Source organism: Homo sapiens, chromosome 8, assembly GCF_000001405.40.
Source record: "Homo sapiens chromosome 8, GRCh38.p14 Primary Assembly".
Taxonomy (NCBI): Eukaryota; Metazoa; Chordata; class Mammalia; order Primates; family Hominidae; genus Homo; species Homo sapiens.
The window spans coordinates 100072462-100094327 of NC_000008.11; the positions used below are offsets into that span (position 1 = coordinate 100072462).

General features: G+C 36.6%; 1 protein-coding gene across 13 annotated transcripts in view; it reads right to left on the reverse strand.

The window, feature by feature from the left end:
• Nucleotides 1–21866, reverse strand: part of RGS22 (regulator of G protein signaling 22) — a 145114-nt gene that overhangs the window by 111526 nt on the left and 11722 nt on the right. For 12 of the 13 annotated variants that reach the window (NM_001286692.2, XM_017013310.3, XM_017013309.3 and 9 more), the window contains exons 3-4: nt 20986–21048; nt 7673–7894 (exon numbers count right to left, since the gene is read on the reverse strand). In NM_001286692.2, coding sequence (NP_001273621.1) covers nt 7673–7894; nt 20986–21048 — 285 coding nt within the window. Of the gene's footprint in view, nt 1–7672; nt 7895–19416; nt 19527–20985; nt 21049–21866 lie in introns of all 13 variants that reach the window. The other variant, NM_001286693.2, reaches the window with a different exon arrangement.

Here is a 21866-nt window from a genome sequence, read left to right on the forward strand (position 1 = left end):
TCAATTTTTACAGATTAACAAATCGAATCCAGAGAAGTTAAGTAACTTGTTGAAGGAGGGAGAATGAGGGAAAAAAAGCCAATGCATCTCAGTATTTTCACAGTCATAAAATGGGTTAAAAATAATCACAAACAGAAAAAGAACCACCAAGAAAACTTGGTAAGGCCACCAAAGTCACTGCAGGCCCCTTGTTCTTCAAGTTTAAAAAAATGTTTTAACTATTTAACATCTCCAGGCGCTCTCTTACTGATACAAAAGTTAACAATGATAGTAGAGTGTTACAAATACTACAGTGTAGGCTTCTGTGGGAGCCTACAGAGACACTCAACTTAGGAGAGGTTTCCCACAGAACACGCACTTCACTCTCTGACCCGAAGCAAAGCTAGCTAGGTTGAGCAGGGAAGCAAAAGAGGAGACAAACCATAAGTGTAGCAGTATTAGGTCACAGGATGAGAGAGAGAAAGGTTGGAGAGGTAGAAAGGGTCATGATTGCAAATAGCCTTTTAAATAACATTAAGGAGTATAGATTTTATCTTGAGGTTGTGAGAGCAATACAGAATTACTGAAGAGTTACTGTTGTTCATCCTAAAATACTTACTCACTCTTGATTCTACTTTTTCTTGTATTCACTTTTTCTAGAATTCTAAATAATATCAGTACCTTGGACACAAAACATATGTTACTAATAAATAAAACAATCTCAGTGAGGTAAATGTATTTGCATTTATGTGGCTTCCATGGACAATCTAAGGTGATAGTTTTGCTATGATATTGCATAAGAGTTAACACATAGACCATTACAAACTCTAGTGAGGAAATTGAATGTCCATACAGAGTGTTGCCGACATCCAATGTGCTGATGCTCATGAGGGTGATGTGTGCTCATCATTGCTGATACGCGCAGAAGTCTTTAGGCATTCAGGATTGGAACATAAAATAGTTTCCTTCTAATCAGCAAAAAACAAAACAAAAAAAAAAAACAAAAAAAACATGTATTTGCCTTCACCAAACACTATCTTCTGCATAATGAAAGAATAGAAGAAAACCATGGAAATAGCCAGCACCTAATCAGCAGCACCTTGTTGACAGTCTCACTGCTTATCAGTGAGATCTGAAGGACATTTGGATCTTGTAGTTAGAAAGACTCTGCATAGGCTACACACTGACAAGCATGCAGGACTCCTGAACGCCCACTAGCGCTACATTCAATGTATCACAGAAAGATACCAAACTACATATAAAGATCCACATAAACCCTTAAAGAATTCTATAAGGTTGTCAAACTAGTCAGTTCATTCAAAACCAATTTGCTGAATATTCAGCTAGTAAACAGTTTACCTATAATTCATCCTCTTTTGAGTGTTTTTGTACCTATGTGACCTAAAAATAAAATGAATTAAAAAGTTTAAAAAGAATAAAATAAAAAATTGAAGAAAAGTCTTTAGCCAAGCTGAAAACAAAACTCTTCATGGTTTTAAAAAGTAACTAAATACAAAGACCAAAAACATACAAGACAATCCTGATCAACCATAAAATAACTTAATAAATACTTATAAGAAACACAAAAAGAATCTATCTAAGGTGAAATTATTTAAACCTTAAAAAAATTTCTTTAAGTTGGTTAAGAAACAAAAAGGGATGACCAGAAGGTTAAGGGAAGATGGCTTTAGGTAAATCAATACAGAACCATTTCCAAATAGCCATACACAAGCTGTCTAAAATGCCTACAGAATTGGATTAATAAAAAATTATATTTAGATGTACAAGGCAAACAAAGCATCGTTATCAGCCAATAGATCTTATTGGTTAGATTTATTGAGGTATAAATTACATACAGTGAAATCCACCCTTTTTAATACAGTTCTACAAGTTTTGACAAATGCATATAATCATGTAACCAGGACTACAATCAAGATACAGAATAGTTCCAACACCCTCCAAATGTCCTCATGCCACTTTGTAGTCAGCAACTCCCTCCAACCCTAGGCTCTGGCAACCACTGATCTGTTCCGTAGTTTTGCCTTTTCCAGAATGTCATATAAATGGAATCAATATAGTATGTACTTTTGATTCTAGTATCTTTCATTCAGCATAAAGCATTTAAGATTTATCTATGTTCTTTCATGTATAAATACTTCATTCTTTTTTGTTGCTGAGTAATATTCCACTGTATGGATATACCACAGTTTGTTTATCCATTCCCCAGTTAAAGGAATCTGGATAACTTTCAGCTTTTGTGATCATGAATAAAGCAACTATAGACGTTTACATGCAGGGTTTCTTTTTTGTTTTTTTTTTGTTTTTTGTTTTTTGTGGTTTTTTTTGAGATGGAGTCTCGCTCTATCGCCCAGGCTGGAGGGCAGTGGCGTGATCTCGGCTCACTGCAAGTTCTGCCTCCCAGGTTCACGCCATTCTCCTGCCTCAGCCTGCCGAGTAGCTGGGACCACAGGCACCCACCACCACGCCCGGCTAATTTTTTTTTGTATTTTTGGTAGAGACGGAGTTTCACCATGTTAGCCAGGATGGTCTCGATCTCCTGACCTCATGATCCAGCCGTCTCGGCCTCTCAAAGTGCTGGGATTACAGGTGTGAGCCACCGCGCCTGGCCGCATGCAGGTTTTTGTGTGAGTATAACTTTTCATTTCTTTTGGGTAATACTCAGGAGTAGGATAGATGGGCAGTGATATGGTATGGATATTTGCCTCCTCCAAATCTCATACTGAATGTGATCCCCAATGCTGGAGGTAGGGCCTAGTGGGAGAGATGTCTTGGTCATGGGAGCGAATCCCTCATGAATGTCTTGGTGTCCTCCTCATGGTAATAAGTGAGTTCTCACTGTTAGTTCAGGTGAGACCTGGTTGTTTAAAGAGCCTGGTGCCTCCCTACTCTCTCCCTTGCTACCTCTCTTGCCATGTGATATTCCTGCTCCCTCTTTGTCTTCCACCATGAGTGGGAGCTTCCTGAGGCCCTCACCAGAAGCAGATGCTAGTGCCATGCTTCTTATACAGTCTATAGAACCATAAGCCAAATAAACCTCTTTCTTTACAAATTACCTGGTTTTGAGTATTCCTTTATAGCAACACAAATGGACTATAGATGGTATGGTATATGTTTAACTTGGAAAGAAGTGCCAAACTGTTTTCCAAAATGGAATTCTCACCAATGAGAATGGACTTTTGGGTTGCTTCCACTTTTTGGCTATTATGAATGATGCTGCTATGAACATTTGTATATAAGTTTTTGTGTGAACATATGTTTTCAATACTCTTGAGTATATACCTAGAAGTGGCATTTCTGGGTAATTTGATAACTCTTGGGCTAACCTCTTAAGAACTGCCTAATATTTTCCAAAGTAGCTGTACTGTCTTACAATTGCAGCAGCAGTGTATGAAGGTTCTAATCACTTCAAATCCTCACAAACGTTTGTTATTATTTGCCCTTTTTTTTTTAATCATAGCCATCGTGTTGGGTGTGAAGTAGTGTCCCACTGTGATTTTGATTCCATTTCCCTTATGACTAATGATGTTGAAAATCTTTTCATGTGCTTATTGTTTATCTTATTTGGAGAAATGTCTATTCTAAACCCTTTGCACATTTTTTAATTGGGTTATTTGTCTTTTTATTTTTGAGTTTTAAGAGTTATTTTTATAGTTTAGATACACATCCTTATAAAATATATGATTTGCAAATATTTTCTCTCATTCTGTGGGTTGTCTTTTTACTTTCTTGGTAGTGTCCTTTAGAGCGTGAAAGTTTTGCATTTTGATTTATCTTTTTTTCCTTGTGCATTTGGTGTCATATCTAACAAAACCAATGCATAATCCAAGGTTATGAAGATTTACACCTGTATTATCTTCTTAAATAGAATTATCTTTTTTGCATTGCTGGATTTAATTTGCTGATTTTTTGAGGATTTTTGTGGTCTGTGTTCATGAGTGATGTTAAGTTGTAGGTTTTTATTTTCCTTCAAATTCCTTCATTTAGTTTTGGCATCAGTGTAATGCTCATCTCATTAAATGAATTAAAAATTGATTTCTTTTGTTTTTTGTATAAGTTTTTATAAATTCAAGTTTACTTCACTTTTAAGTGTTTGACAGAATTAACCAGTGAAGCCATCTGGGCCTGGAGTTGTCTTTGTGGCACGATTTTAAACTGTGAATCCAACTTCTGTAATAGATGTAGGACTATTCAGATTATCTATATCCCCTTCAGTGACCATTGATAATTTGTGCCTTTTAAGAAATATGTGGGCCGGGCACGGTGGTTCATCCCTGTAATCCCAGCACTTTGGGAGGCCGAGGCAGGCGGATCACTTGAGGCCAGGAGTTCGAGAGCAGCCTGGCCGACATGGCAAAACCCCATCTCTACTAAAAATGCAAAAAGTATCTGTGCATGGTGGCATATGCCTGTAATCTCAGCTACCTGGAAGGCTGAGGCAGGAGAATCGCTTGAACCTGGGAGGCGGAGAGTGCAGTGAGCTGAGATCGCCCCACTGCACTCCAGCCAGGGCATCAGAGCGAGACCCTGTCTCAAAAAAAAAGAAAAAAAAAGTCTATTTCATTTAAATTCCATGAGCTTATAGACATAAAGTTGTTTGTAAAATTCTCTTATTTTTTTTAACTGCCTGTAAAATTTGTAATGACATCCCCTTTTCATTTCTGATATTGGGCATGTATATCTTTCTCTTTTTCTTCATCATTCTGGCTAAAAGGTTATCAATTTCATTGATTTTTTCAAAAAACAAGGCTTTATTTTCATGGATTTTTCTCTCTTGTTTTTCTGTTTTCAATTTCATTGATTCTGTTCTTTATTTCTTTATTTTTGGTTTAATTTTAACTTAATTTTTCTAGTTTCTCATAGTGACAAGTAGATCATAGATTTATTTAGTCTTCTCTATTATAAGCACTTAATGGTACAAATTTCCCTGTAAAGACCAATTTAGTTGCATCCCACAAATTTTGATATGTTATGCTTTAGTTTTTATTCAATTCAACATAATTTTTAATTTCCCTTGGGACTTAGTCTTTGACCTATGAATTATTTAGGAGTATGTTATGTAATTAAGTATTTAAGGATTTTGTTACCGATTTATAGTTTAATTCTGAAGTGGTCTGAGAACATAGTTGGCAAGATTTCAAATCTTTTAAGTTTGCTGAAATTTATTTTATGGCCCAAAATGTGGTCTATTTTGGTAAATATTCCCAGTGCACTAGAGAAAAAAATGTATACTTTACTGTTGTGGGATAAAGTGTTCTGTAAAGATCAATTAGATTTACTTGGTTGCTAGTGTTTTTCAGAACTTCCATTTCCTTACTGATCTGCTATCTTTTCTATCAGTTACTGAGAGAGCAGTGCTTTAGTCTCCAACTATAACTATAAATTTATCTATTTCTCCTTTCATTTCTATCAGCTTTTGCATCATGTACTCTGAACCTCTGTTGTTCGGTGCATATATGAGTTGTTAAGCTTTCTTGGTGAATTGACCCTCCCCCCTTTATCATTATGTAATGTTCCTCTTTATCCATAGTAAGATTCCTTGTTCTGAGGGGTGCTTTGCCAGATATCAATATAGTCACTCCAGCTTTCCTTTAATTCATAATTGCATAGTATACCTTTTAATATCCTTTTTACTTCTAACCTATTTATGTCTCATTTTTAAGGTTAGTTTCTTGTAGACAGCAAATAATTGGGATTTTTTTAAAAAATCATCCCTGACTCTGGCTTTTACTTGGGGTGCTTACGCCATTTAAATATCATGTAATTATTGATGTATATTATTATTATCATTATTTTTAGAAATGAGGCCTCACTCTGTCACCCAGGCTGGAGTGCAGTGGCACCATCATAGCTTACTGCAGCCTCAAACTCCTGGGCTCAAGTGATCCTCCTGCCTCAGCCTCCTAAAGCTCTGGAATCAAACGAATGAGACATCATGACAACTCAATATGATTAATTATATTATATTATTAATCATATATATTATATGATTAATGTGATACTAATTATTGATATGGTTTGTTTAAAATCACTACTACCATTTTCCTAGTTGTTTTATTCTTTATGTGTCCCATATGTTCTTTGTCTGTTTTTTCCTCATTTTCTGTCTGCTTTCCATTTAGTACTTTTTAATTCCTTTGATCTCCACTATTGTTTTTATTTTTATTTATTTTTATTTTATTTTTGAAACAGGGTCTCACTCTGTTGGCTAGACTGGAATGCAGTGGTGTGATCACAGCTCACTGCAGCCTTAACCTCTCCAGGCTTAGGTGATCCTCCTACCTCAGCCTCCTGGGTAGCTGGGACTACAAGTGTACGCCACCATGCCTGGCTAATTTTTGTATTTTTTGTAGAGATAGTGTTTCGCCATGTTGCCCAGACTGGTCTCTAACTGCTGAGCTCAGGCAATCCACCTGCCTTGGCTTCCCAAAGTGCTGGGATTATAGGTGTGAGCCATTGCAGCTGGCCTGTTCTCATTACTTATGCCTCTTTCTAAAAACTTCTAAATTGCTGCTCTAGTTTTATAATAGACATGCTTAATTAATCAGTCTATCTTCAAATATATCAAATAAGATCATCCAGATCTTTTTGAGAAACTTGTGCCAAAGCACATAACTCAAGAATCTCCTAAATAGCTTTTGTTTAACAATAAATAAATAGGCTATAAAGACCTCCATACAATCAAAAATTTCTATTCACTGAAGGAAGTGAATAAAACAATAAACATTGTCCCACCTAGTAAAAAATTTTTAAACTAACAATTATATAGTACTGTGTAGCGCAGAATATATATCCTTGTTCTGGCTTCGAAACAATGTTGTAACATGGTTATTACTATTAGCATTTAGTTTGATGAAAGTTAAAGATAGAAACTATTAGCATTTAGTTTGATGAAAGTTAAAGATAGAAACTATTTGGTGAAAGTTAAAGATAGATACTATTTGAATTCAGTAACAGAAGAATTGAAGAACTTTCAGGCTAGAGTAGATCTATGTCTTAAATGTTAGACATACTTTAGCCTGGTTATACTAGACATTTTGAATCAATGTGAAATAGTATTGTTAAACATTCATTATTATTTTCATTTCATCCACACAAGAAACCTAAGTAGTAGGTAGTAAAGGCATCATTTGACAGATGATGAAAATCAGATTCATCAAAGTGACTTGTACACAGAGTCAGTAAGCAGAGGAGCCAATATTAGAACCCAGGTTTTCCAACCTCATGCTAAGGAGACAAAATCCAGAAGCTGAAAATGAAATTTAAGGCCAGGGAGGTCAGAGCCACACAATGCAACTTGAGGGTCAGAAGTCTCAATTCCCAACTGCTTGATAGGATTGGTTCAAAACCCAAATGAAATACATTGCCTATATATCCACATTTTCAATAACGCATCAAAATTATAAAGGACACTTATATTTATATGACTCAAAACTAACCTAATATTCAAATATTCAAGGTAAATTATATGAATCTTCTCAAATTGATAAGTGAACATCAACAAAACTGCTGAACTGGCCATTGGATTTGAAAAGTGCTTAACAAATACTATGTGTACGTACAACACAAGCTAATAAATGTAGCTACACTTCAAAAAGGGAAGCCTAAGTAAACTCATGTTAATTTCACCAAATGCTTTATCTATCTAACAAGATAAAACAGTATACTTTCTTACCATAATATTGTAGTTGACATTAATGGTCTCATCTTCATCGGGGGCATTCATTTGAACAGGTTTAACCTCATTCTTTCCTTTCCTTACAACATCATAAATGGGATTTCGAGGTTGCTGGTTTTGTAGAATTTTTTTCAGTTGTTTTTCCAGAAATTGTGGAGCATCATTAGCTACTTCAAAAACTCCATAATCTGCATTAAATCTAATTGCCTCTGAAAAGGTCTGCAATATAAATTTGTGGAAATTAAAACATTTTTTAAACCTGGAAACTCATGGTCTCTAAGAAGACTTGTGGTTTACATACATGCATGCATACCTCACAGAGTTCTGTGTTTGTAATCATTCCCTCTTCCTTTTTAGGAGCTAGGAAATCCCTTGGGTAGAGGTCAGGGAACCCACTAAACTCTTCCTTGCCAATGCACTTATGCCACGAGTAAGTGTCAGGGTATGCTATGGCAGAAATTCCCTTTGTATAAACATCTTAAGTCTGTGATTATTTGAAACTGGAGAGAAATATATACCTGGCTCTACAAAGCAATGTTATTCTCTTAGAAGGGGGTGGATCACTAGGGAAGAATGAGTAAAGGAAGAAATAATGCTCCCATTGTCTTTCATCCTTAGGAGCCATGAAGGCTAACAATCTCCCTTGTCCAAAAGGAGAAATTTAAGTACAATATGTTCTTCAGTTAAGACTATTTCAACACCATCCTTTGCACTGTGACAAAAAAAGAGAGAAGAAAATAACATTTCTGAGGTTTTTATCAGTAATTCTAAATGCTGCCAACTTTTATTTAAAGCCAGTCAGTTGATATACAATAGTCAGGAGTCTTGAGTTTGAATGCCAGCTTGCCAATAAGTACCTCTGTGACTCTAGGTAAATCACTGAACATTTTTGGGGCCTCCACTTCCGTAAGAAGTAAATGGTGAATTGGCCATGTCTTTTCCCATTTGTCTTCCAAATCTAGAATCAGGTCCCTTTTTCAGAATATTCATTTATTTTAGGGTGCCTTCAGTGAACTGACTACTCATGTAGATTAACTTATACATGCTTAGGCGAGTGGTAGAAGAAATTAAATTCTTCCCCTTGGATCAGTAAGTGTTCTAAGTAGAACATTAATTCAAGTTTTACTAAGGGATTGCTAGATATACTATAGTCATAATTTAAAAAGTGGCAGAATTTCACAGTAAAATTGGAACTAGAAGTATGTGTATATATGTGTGCGTGTATGTATATATATATATATATATATTTAAATTTTAATGTCTCATAATATCACATCTCTAAGGTCTGACTGTCTCCCCTTCTGAGGAATTTAAAGTACATGGATGATACGGTTCAAGATGAATGTCAGTCCACAGTCTCAAAAGCCTTAGGACTAAGAGTTTCTCCCAAAATGATAAGTATTGCTCAATGAGTAAGAAAGAATTAGCCATAAATTACATATAAAATTTCTTCAATAGATATATTTCATTAGTTGCCCACTGCATCTGTCTTTCAAACATGGGATTCAAACAGGCACCATTTACCTAAATGACATAAATACCATCCCTAAACTATGCTATCACTTAACTAAAGAGAAAAAAGAGTCTGCTGATATCGCAGATTAGATTTATCTGGAGATAGGAAATTAATTAAACTTGGTAGAGAATGACATCAAATATTAATGGGAGTAGGAGAAACTAAGCTGTATAAAGTGAAAGACCATCTGGAAAACATTTCTTCTAGTTCTGAGTATCCATGGAACAAGAGAACAAGTTTGACTTTTATTGTTTTCCTTTTTTTTTTTTTTTTTTGCCTCCTACCCTCTGACCTGGTAGCCAGAGGAACAGAAAGCTGTGATAATCCAACGCAAAGAATGTTAACTAGTTAGTTCAATGGATAAATAAAACATTTCCTACTAATCAAGTAAAAAGTGCTCAAGTAAAAAAATTAGGAGGGGCTATTGATACTCCAAGACCCTAGTAATCAATCTTACTTAGTAGTAGTGAGTAGTTACGGTATAGTTGGCAGAAATAACGAAGATGATAAGGACTATTTACTGAATGTCTATCATGTGATAGGTGTGTGATGGACACTTTATTTTTTTTCTTTCCAACTTTTATTTTAGGTTTAAGGGGTACATGTGCAGGTTTGTTACATGGGTAAATTGCATGTTGCAGGGGTTTGGCATACAGATAATTTTGTCACCCAGGTAAGCAGCATAACACTCAATAGGTAGTTTTTCAATCTTCACCCTCCCTCCACTCTCCATCCTCAAGTAGGCCCCTACAATAGTAGGTCTATTGCTCCCTTCGTGTCCATGTGTGCTCAATGTTTAGCTCCTACAGATAAGTGAGAACATGTGGTATTTGGTTTTCTGTTCCTGCATTAATTCCCTTGGGTTAAAGGTCGTGATGGACACTTTAAAAGCCCTCTCTTGAATCCTTCCACATTCCTGACATAGCTCTTTACAAAAAACTGATGGTAGGGATGGCTAAGTGGTGGTCCATGGACTCAGAGCTATAAAGTGCTAGACAATCAGGGTTATGGAAACAAGTCTGTCTGGTCCCAAAGACAGAACATTTCCTCTTTAATACACTGCCTCACGTATGACAAAACTAGTGTGTACTGACCACTTCTCTACACCAAGTTCTTTGCTAAGCAATAATCCTATGAAGTTAGGGTAGCTGTGATTCAAACAAAGCATTTTGATTCCAAAGCCCATACTCTTATCTACCCTGGTTTTACTAGTAAAGGCACAGAGGCATGAAGCAACATGGTGTATGTGGGTAACTCTACGCAGCTGGATTAGAACAAGAATAGCCGTAGTTGGAATAGTTTAAGGAACAAAGAAAAAAGACTTGAAGTAGATAACATAGTATAACCAGATCATGAAAGGCTTTGCATGCCATTTTAACAAGTACGGGCTTTATCTTAACCCTCTAGGAAACAGGGAGGCACATGAACACCCTAAGTAGGAAAGTAAATAGTTACTTCTAATTTGTGTTTTAGAAAGGTTCTGGAGCAGTCTGGAAGATGTAATGGTTGCTTGTCAGCTCATGAGCTGGTGGGGTTGGCTGCTCACATTACAGAAGCAGAACCATCACCACACTCTGGGGAGACTGGCTGTTATCTCAGAGCTACTGCTATCACATCGCGACCAGGTTTTATGTAAAAATTACTAACTCTCTGGATGGGATACTGTCCCCGTCACATGCAGAGGCCAGGGCAGTATTTAAAGCAGGTAGTTAACAATTACTTTTGGTTTTTTTTGAGACTGAGTCTTGCTCTGTCCTCAGGCTGGAGTGCAGTGGCGTGATCTCGGCTCACTGCAACCTCTGCCTCCTGGGTTCAAGCGATTCTCTTGCCTCAGCCTCCTGAGTAGCTGGGACTACAGGCACACACCACCATGCCAAGCTAATTTTTGTATTTTTAGTAGAAATGGGGTTTCACCATGTTGGCCAGGATGGTCTCAATCTCTTGACCTCGTGATCCACCCACCTTGGCCTCTCAAAGTGCTGGGATTACAGGCATAAGCCACTGTGCCCAGCCAACAATTACTTTTATATTTACATAAAAAGCAAAACTACAGCTGAGAAAGCCTAAATGAACTCTTCATGGCTTTACAGCAAGTCCCCTAATGAGCTTACAACACAACTCTGGAGTTATCACTATGCAACTGCTTTAAACCTAGAACTGACCGCGTAATTTCTTTTCTTTTTTTTTTTTTTTTTTGTTTTTTGTTTTTTCTGAGACAGAGTCTTGCTCTGTCGCCAGGCTGGATGGAGTGCAGTGGCGCGATCTTGGCTCACTGCAACCTCCGCCTCCCGAGTTCAAGGGATTCTCCTGCCTCAGCCTCCCAAGTAGCTGGGCGCCACGACGCCCAACTAATTTTTCTATTTTTTAGTAGAGACGGGGTTTCACCATGTTGGCCAGGATGTTCTTGATCTCTTGACCTCATGATCCGTCCACCTTGGCCTCCCAAAGTGCTGGGATTACAGGCGTGAGCCACCACGCCCGGCCACATAATTTTAGTTAAGGCTTACTGTGGATGCTGTGGACTGGCTCACTCAGAATCCATTCCAACCTCCTAAAATGCAAAGCCTGGAAAAGTAAAAACTTTATTTCTCAGACTCCCTACAGCTACGATTTCATGTGTGCTTTAGGTTGTGCTACTCGTATGCACTTACAAAAATACTTGAATTCTGAATGGACCTAGTAGGGAAAAAGGCAGTGTATCCATTCTGAGGAAGAAAGTGTATGTAAGCATGAAAGTGAGGAGAGGAACTGGTCAAAAAGAAGTGCTTTACAGAAACAGCACAGTAAAAACAACAAAAGGAAAATTGGAATTATGTTTATAATAAAATGGCATGCAATGTTTCTATTTATTATAAAAAAAGAAATGTGAATGTATATGTAAAAATGTTTATACTTTTAAACTTAAGAATTTCTTTCTATGGAATTAATTATAATAGAACAGAGATCTTTCCAGGGGTAAATCAGTGTTTTTGTATTTGAAAAGCCACGCATTAGCTTAGATCCTGGAAGGTCCTTAAAAGCACTATGATTCTAAGATGATAAAAGTGGCAAACAACTGTTTCAAAGCTTCTCTCAGTAATTCATTTTACCAATAGCAAAATGTTTGAATTACCAAGTGCCAATTATTGCCCTAAACCTAGAGGATACAAAGATGAATAAAACATTATTTCTGCCCTTGAAGGAACAAGTACATGATCTTTCATTTTTGTCTATGATAAAGAGTAAACAAAATACCGAAATAAATTAAAACTTGTGTAAATGCAAATGCCAAGGGCAAATATGTCCCCAGTGACAAGGGTAGTAATACTAGAATATTATGTCTGGTCTGGTTATCACACTTTAAAAGGGATTTGGCTAAACTAGAAACTACCCAGAGAAACATAAGCAGAATGATTAAAAATGGAAGAAATGTTGGGCAAATCACTTTGCCTTTCTGAGACATATCAGTAAAAAGAAGTTGTAACTAGATAAACCGAAGGTGCTTTCCATGTTTGATACTCCATCAGTCCATGATGGACGTTCCAGGAAAAAAGTCTATATCTTCTGCTCTTTAGTAAGATCACTCAGCCCCACTATTCCTTTGTTAGCTCATTCATTTATTCAATAAGTATTTAATTATTATTATCATAATATCCTATTTAATATATTGAGTGAGCCAATACAGGGCATCCTCCACAAGGCCCCAAATGAAATGAAAAAGACACAGATCCTGCCTCAGAGCACACATTATCCAGCAGAGGAAGACAGATAAGTAAACATAAATAGGCAATAAAGACCCATCCTATGAGGGGAAGGGATATGAAAGTCAGCACATAAGGTGAAATCATATTTAGTCAAGATTATCCCTTGAAATCTTGAAAACATCCATAAAGTTGTCTTCAACAATGTTCTCAAAAAGTTCATGAGTCAGTTGTTCCTCTGGATTGAAATGAGTCACTGATTCTTCAGTTAGGGACTGGATGAAGGGATGGACTTGTGTTTAAAGCTCATGCTGTACACAAAATGTGTATGTTTAACACTAGAATCACCCTTAGCATGATGATATGACAACATACTGTAAGAGGCAGGAAGGATGACACTCATTGATGGAATGGCAGTTTCTCATCTTCCATCTCACACCCTCTACAGGGCACATACACATAGATTGGTACAACAGACAAAATCATTGTGACTCTTTAAATCACTCTTCATGTCACTCTTTAAACCTCACTCTCTCTGCAGAACATGAGTAGCTCAATTTGAATAAGAATGGATGTATATTGAACTCCAGTTTAACACAGAACAAGCACAATAGAAGAACATACAAAGTAATGTGATGGCACAGAAGGATTCATTAACTATTAATATATTCTGGAAATTAAGGAAGATGTATAGGGAAAGTGGGCTGCTAGAGCTGAATTTTAAGAATGAACAGGCAATGTCAGGTAGACAAGGGAGAAGAGGGGGAAGAGGTGAATTCACAAAAGTAATAGCCAATGCATCAAGATAAAGGAGCATGACACCTACCATGTACCCACAAAAATTAAAAATAAAAATAAAAGATACAAGAGCACAAAATAATAGGTTACATTTGGTGAACTGCAAGCAGTGAAACATATTCAACTTTAATATTTTAAGGGAGAATAGCAGAAATAAGACTGGAGAGAAAGGATGAATTCGTTGAGGACCTACTATCATATGCTGTAACTCTCAACTTACACTGTTGAACCAATGATTCTCATAGGGTGGTTCCTAGATCAGCAATATCACCATCACCTGAGATCCTGTTAGAAATGCAAATTCCCTCCTAAGCAAATTAACACAGGAACAGAAAACCAAACACCATATGTTTTCACTTATAAGTGGGAACTAAACATCGAGTGCTCATGGACATAAATGGCAACAATAGACACTGGGGACAACTAGATGGGAGAGGGAAGGATGGAGATAAGGGCTGAAAAACTACTGGGTACTATGCTCAGTACCTAGGTGAAGGATCATTCATATCCTAAGGCTCAGCATGACGCAATATACCCAGGTAACAAACCTGCACATGTACACCCCTGAATCTAAAATAAAAGTTGAAAAGAAAAAAGAAAGATAAGCAACTTATCGGTCCCCTCCGTATAACAAAATCTCTGGGGAAGGAGCTCAGCACTCTGAGTTTTAACAAGCCCTCTGATCATTCTAACGCATGCACATGTTTAAGAATCACTGCTTTACAACAAGGAGGAGCCACTGAAGAGTTTTTAGCTGAGGAGAGGCAGAATCCAGATGAAGACAAACTGCAAAGCCACATTCTGTTGGTTACTTCATGCTGACTCTCATGGGTATTCATATATGAGGTGGTGCCAGCCGTCTGTGTTTGATACCCAGGAGAAAGAGCCCTGGTCTTTCATTAGTACCCAAATTCCTGTTGTTTGCTTAAAAAGAAGCTCTCTTAAACATCAAGTCCTTTGTTTTAACCATTTCTAAGCTTATCTATAAAACTCCTATAGTTTAGTAAGTAACAATACAAGACACATAGGGTATGGGAGACAGAAATGAATGATGTAGAAAGTCTTTTCTCCAAAATGCTAAGTTGGCTGATTTAGAGAATGCTCAACCTTAAATCATATAACAGGAAAAACCTTCAGTTTGAGCCTCAAACCCAATCCTCCACAAGCTGTTACAGACTGCTCTTTTCCTTACTTAATTTTCTTATTTCAAGGATATCATTTTCCAAATATTCCAAAACGAATTGACCTGAAGGTGGTGAAAGCTAACTTTGTAGTACTAGTCATCCATGTGTGAAAAATATTTTCACAGAAAAAGCAAGTGCATGAAAATATTTTTACCAGAGTAAATTGCTGGTTCCACATTTCTTTGAAAAGGGGAGAGAAAAAAAACCTGTGAATAATTAGTGACGTACTTAAACTGCCAGCCCAGCACCAGTGAAACTTACCGGGTGCCAAATTATTTAGCTGAACAGTATTTAAATTAAAAACTAATGACTAGGTTAATTTAATACATGTTCATCTCTGCTCCAACTCTGTCTTTACTAATTGAGCTCCAAAGCTGTATTTTAAACATGCATCCCTAGTCAGTGAATGGAAAACATCTGACTACTTGAATGTAACAAGTCAGTTACCAATAACAACTTCTTTTAATCTAAGCTTTATTGTCATTTTAGATGTTTAACCATAAACTGTTTACTAGATATATTCACCAATGGGATGGAATGAATAATGTGCCACATAAAATGTATAGAAAATATCCTTAGTTAATAAATGAGTTAGGTAATTTGAGTGCTGTATTTTTGAGCTACAAGTCTTATCAAAACACCCAGAGGTGCAAACACTGAACTAAGCAGTTTCCTAGAGCTTTATCAACACCTGTAAAAATCAATTTCTGAGTATTTAGATTTTGGCAAGAGAAGACCCAAACCCTTCATCCCATGCATTCCCCCAAAATATACTCTCTCTTTCTCCCCACTGGCCCCCCACAACAGTCCATCTAGCATATAACTCCTTCATAAAGCTGCAAGAAATTATAACTGTTTACGGATTGTAAAAAGTGTGGAGAATCAGTCCAAAAAAAGAAGTTATGGTAAAATTTCAACAGCACATAACTAAGCATGGTCTGGCAAACACATGACATACCTATCCTTGCGAGGAGGGTATAGAACAGGCCACCCCTTCAGCTTCTGCAAACTATAAATGTCACAAACATTTGAAACCACCCACAGAGGACCAACCTAAATCTACGTGGGCTCATCTACTCAATCCCACAACAGTCACTAAGCATAAAACACACAAAACAAAGCCAAAAGGAAAAAAATGTTTTCACACTATAGCACGGAAGAAAACTTAATAAGCAAACACTTGTCCATAAAGAGTTGACAGCAAAAAACCTCCCAGACACCAAATGAAAACAATATCTGAATGTGAACTTGGCACAAGAACAAACGGAATGAAGTTATGAAAGCTAGGATTTGGAAAGTGCTGCAATCATTTATAATAGCAGCAACTGTCCTGAATTCCCCTCATCAAAAAATAACATGGAGGCAGGCTACCAGCCACCAGTTTCAGGATCTTACAATGTGTCCCAAGGGTATAATGGTGTAATGGAAAGAAATAGTGTAGGGGCCAGAATGCCTGATTCCTAGGCCCATTTCTACCACAATCCGGTTATAGGACCTTGGGCATGTCATTACAGATAGGGAAAAAGTCTCAGAAGTCATCTCAGAGATGACCTAAGGGCCCTATAGTCTATATCTACACTCTAGGGCTTAGGCTATTGCTTTTGGTGGGGACTGAGGGTAGAGGTGGGTGAAGAAAGGAGGCAGGAGAAAAGATTAGAAGGTTTACTTGTTTATATTAAGGATCTTACATGGAAGATGTTGAAATAAAAACAGAATCATAATCAAGAATCTTTGGGAGATACAGAAAAGACCTGTCCTTGCCCCCAGGAAATTTACAATGTAGCTCCTGAGATAAAATAAACAGAGAAGAAGGAAATTTTCTCTGGTCAAGAAAGTCCAATCTTCCACCATAGATATATATACATAATAGAGATACACGAGATACACACACACACAAACACACACACACACACACACACACGATATTCTCATAAGATGATTTTCTAACCTCTACTTGAATACCTCCAAGTTTACTCCTTCACAAGTCAGCCCATTTAATTGTTAGAAAACAAATTCTAAAGTTCCTTCTTATGGTGAGTGAAAATCAAATCAATTTCTCTCATAAATGCTGGCCGTGGTTCTGCACTCTAGTTTCACAGAATACGTTAACCCTTCTTCCTCAATCAAATCATAAAATATTTGAAAGGGACTACTCCATTTCACCCCTGCTACCCATTCCCAAGCCAGGTTAAACACCAAACTTCTTTCAACCCTTCATTTGACATGGTTTCCAGAGTGATCATTGGCTAAGACTCCCTGAGTCTGGTTTGGCAGAGCAACTCTTAACATATGGCACCAAAAATGGAACACAACGGTCTAAGTGCAGTCTGACAATTTAACTCTATTCAAAGAAACATTTATTGAGTGCTTTCTGTGCTCCAGACTAATATTTTTCTTGATCTTGACTACATTTCTATTAATGACCCCTAAAACCACATTAGCTTTGTTTGTTTTGGTCCATTTCACACTATCGGGATAAAAACAAGACCAGATTCTCTTATCCAAATCATTAGTTTACTCCTCTGCTGCCAGTTCTATAGACATCATAGCATGATGGGACAATCAAAAGTTTTGAGCCATCTGAACCTGTGTGGACCATTATTTACTAGATGCATGACCTAATACTGGAACTTGCAACTTTTCATCCAAGTCCCTGATAAAAACAGTTAAAAAGGCAAAGCCAATGACAGATTTGTTTGGCACATAAGATTATCCTCTATATTGACCATCCACCAATCCCATTAAACAGTGATTGCCTGTTATGCTGCAGGAATGGAGGACGAGATAGTCTAATTAGTGAAGGAAAAGAAAAGTGAAGCACTAAACCTGTGCCAGGCGCTTAACATACGTTACCTCACTTGATAATAATTTTGTAAGATAGTCATATTGTCTTCATAGAGAAAGAAATTGGGGAATTAAGTAAGCAAGGTTTCTAAGATCATGCTGGTAAGAGTGGAAAAGCTGGAATCAAACACAGTTCTCTCACTCCTAATACCAACAATTACATGGTGAGATTTGAGCATGGGAAGAATAAGTGTGGTCAAGATGGATTGGTGGGCTAGGGGAGGCAGGAAAGAGTATGCAGGATGGCAAAAGTAATGTGAAATGAGATATAAAGGTAGAAAGATTAAGTTGAAGCCAAATTACAAAGGGTCTTGAATTGTATACTAGCAAATTTGGAATTCAATCTGTAGGTTATTAAAAATCAACCCCTGCTGGTTATGGTTAGTCAACCAGTTCAAATACTTGAAAACTAATTTCACAGATAATGATAAGGTCTTTGGAGACAAAGCACTATAAGTGGAGCATGTGTTGAGGTTGTTATTTTAGATAGGGTTGTTAGGGAAGGCTTTCTAAACAGAAGGGATTTAAGTCAAGGAGAAAGTGATACAGGTATCTCAGAGAAGAGCATGCCAGGTAGAAAGACCCTGAGTATATCTGGCATATTCATGTTTGAGAAGCATAAAGAAAGTCAGTCAGGTTGGAAAGTAAGTAGAGAAAATAAGTAGAAAATAAAGATCAAGAGATAGCAAGAGCCAGATCATATAGGATTCTGGATTTTATTCTTAGTGTAATGAGAAGTCCCTAGACAGGGTTTTGAACAGAGCAGGAAGTAACATGATTCAATTTATTATTTTTATAATACTTTATTGAAATCATAATACATTAATTTATGGTTCCCTAAAATACCAGTCTATAACTATCCAAAAAAAGAAAGATTAGTTTGGCATACTTACTCTCAGTAAACCCATACTGGCTTCTAATATTTAGCTAAGTGCTCATAAACCAAACATTACTAATCTGTTCTAGAATTTTGCCAGACACTTAGTTTGAGAATACATCATTCCTTCTCCTCCCTGTCCCCAGATTCTTTTTGAAAACCCGCGACAACATTTTCTCTTCTCTTGTCTTGTAATGTGAAGAATGGGTAATTAATTGGTAGACTGTGTGATCCTGAATGTAGATGCAAGAGGAACTCCAAAAAAAAAAAAAAAAGAGGAGGTAAAAACAGAAGGATTTGGAGAGATGGAAAACAGGAAAAAGGCAGCCCAGGTGAGTGCTTGGGACACACAAAGGGGTCAAACTTCAGGTCTTGCTCAGGAGGGATAAAAACATTACTACATAGAATTCAACAGAAATCACACTGTCCTGTCACCTAAAGTCTGAAAGGAAACAGAAAAATGGCAATGTCTATTCTGACTGGGTGGCAGGATTATCACATTTTTGGTAAACTGTCTATAATATTGTTATGTCATCTCTATAACTTAAAATAGATTTTTTTAAAAGAAAGTTAAGAGAATTTATTTCTTTTCCAAAACAAGTTGATGTAATCACAAATCCCAAGACACTGAAATGTAAATGTTAAGAAACCGACATTAGATCTATATAGAGATTTTTCTATTTAAAATTTCACAAAAATGTACTTGTTTTGGAGGGAGAGTGGAGATTGCAGAGCCCACAGGAAAGACTATGTAATCTGGAAAAGCAAAATTCTGGCAATTTTGTCATGCTACTGGGTCTTATATAATATACAACTGGACAACAAAAGTTAAAGAGTCAGACCAAACAAGAACTCCTTGAATATCCTGTGGTGTTGCTCAGGCTTGTTCTTGGAAAGGGAGCAGGAGCTTTGGTGTGTCAATCTAATTTCCATAATGGGTCCAGAGACCTAGCTATGCCCAACAGAGAGAGTACAAAATTATTTTAGAAAAATAAAATCACAAAACAAACATGCATGCATGCATAGATACATATATATATATATAAAACTAATCTACACAAGAAAGTGCTGAATAGTACTTTCCCTTCAAAAGGTATTCCAGTGTTTAGGCTTTAAGAGACTTCACATTTATGGTACACTCCCTTAAAAATTACTTGTGATTTTTTTTTATGTTTCAAATTTTCCCTGGAAAACAGTTTCATAACACAATAGCAAAAACCTTTTCTTATACATCTTTTAACCAGCATTCCTTATTAACTTTATTTTCATACAACAAGATAGGTCTTTTTATGACCCCTCATTTCACTTTTCCCCAATTCCTTAATGTGGTTTGAATGTGTCCCCCAAATTTAATGTGTTGAAAACTTAATTCCCAATGCAACAGTGTTGGGAGGCGGGGCCTAAAAAGAAGTGATTAGGTCATGAGGGCTCTGCTCTCCTGAATGGATTAATGTTGTTATCTTGAGAGTGGGTTGGTTATCAAGAGAGTGTTATAAAACTTGTTTAAAGTTTGTTATAAAAGTGAGGTCAGCGCCCCTCTTTCTCCCTCATTCTCTTAATCTCTGTTTTCCCTTCCACCATGGCATGATGTGGGAGGAAGGCCCTCACCAGATGCAGCCCCTTGATCTTGGACTTTTCAACTTCCAGAACTGTGAGCCAAATAAATTTCCATTCCTTATACATTACCCAATCTCAGTTATTCTGCTATAGCAGCATAGACTATATGGACTAGGACATCCCTTAATACTCACAATACATGTTACTGCTGTCTATGACTGAAACTATTAATTGGCATCAATCTATGTTACACCAATGACAGTGTGCCAAGTCCTATTTACTACTGATATAAAACTCTAGTTGCCTTAAATACAAATTCCACTTTAAGTTCTATCCAAGAGGATGAAAATAATTGCTTGAAAGCAAAAAATTAGTTCCTTGACTTTTTTGATATTTTGTCCTTATTATCTCTGTCAAAAGTCTAACTGTTAGCTGGGCATCATGGCACATGTCTGAAGTTCCAGCTACTTGGGAGGCAGGAGGATCGCTAGAGTTTGAGAAGTCGGGGCTGCAGCGAGCCATGATCATACCACTGCATTCCAGCGTGGGCGACAGAGCAACACAATGTCTCAAAAAAAAAAGCCTAACATGGTGCCAAATACAGCTGAACCAGAGTTTGTACAGAATGCTTTTTAATGGTTAGAAAAACTCCAGATTTCTTCAATAAGAATAATTTCTAAATATGATTCAAATCCAAATGATTAACTATGTAAAAAGATAAAACCTTTACCTAAATGCTTTAATATTTTTTTAAAAAGCATTATCCCTGATAAATTGGTTTCACAAGATAACCCAGTGATTAAAATATTTTGCTTTGATAATATATATTCAATAGATCATAATAATAAACTCACTGGAAGGCTTAGGAATTCATTAAAGTAGTCTACAAGGAAATCATCTGTTGCCAGAGAATCTTCCTGCAAAAAAAAAACATAAAAACACAGTATTATAATTATACATTTTAAATCATGCCTATATTATTCTCTATTTCTGCTACGAATTTATTATCACATAGATCTTCAAATCTCTTTTAGTCAGTCAACAGTGAACCCTCACTATAAACTGAACACAGTTTATGGTGTTTTATTGTCTCCTTCCAATCTCTGAAAGGAAAAAATAAGAAAACAGAAGTGGGCATACTCTTAAAACACTTTGCTACTATACTTAGTTGGAAAACAGAACACATGAAAAATATAGCACAACACTTAAATGAAACATCAACAAATACAAAATAATACCACCACATGGTAAGTTTCACACAGACTTATTAAATATATACATATTTCATAAAAATAAAGGCAGAGTCAACAAGAAGCAGTGTTTGGAGCCCAAATGAAATTGAGAATGTAAATTTCTTGAATTGCCCAATGAAAATGATAAAGGAAGTGAAGAAAATGTTCTACTGTCCCCCACCCCAGAATGAGGTACATTTTTAAATCTGGATCCTGCTTCACTTTTGCACGAGGAAAGTTTGACAATGCATGTGTTCTAAGAATAAAGATTGTATGCATTTTTTCCATAACTATCTCATCCACCAACATAGCCACTTTTCAAATTGGCAAAATTGAAAAGCCACTGCCAAGAACAAAATTTCTCTTCCAAATCATAAGACACCTTATTTTATTAGCAATTGTTTCCATTATGTCAAAAGCACATCATGGCATACTGTTGTATGGTACATGTGTTTATTTTGTTATTCATAATTATACTTCAATTTTGCAAATCTAACATGAAA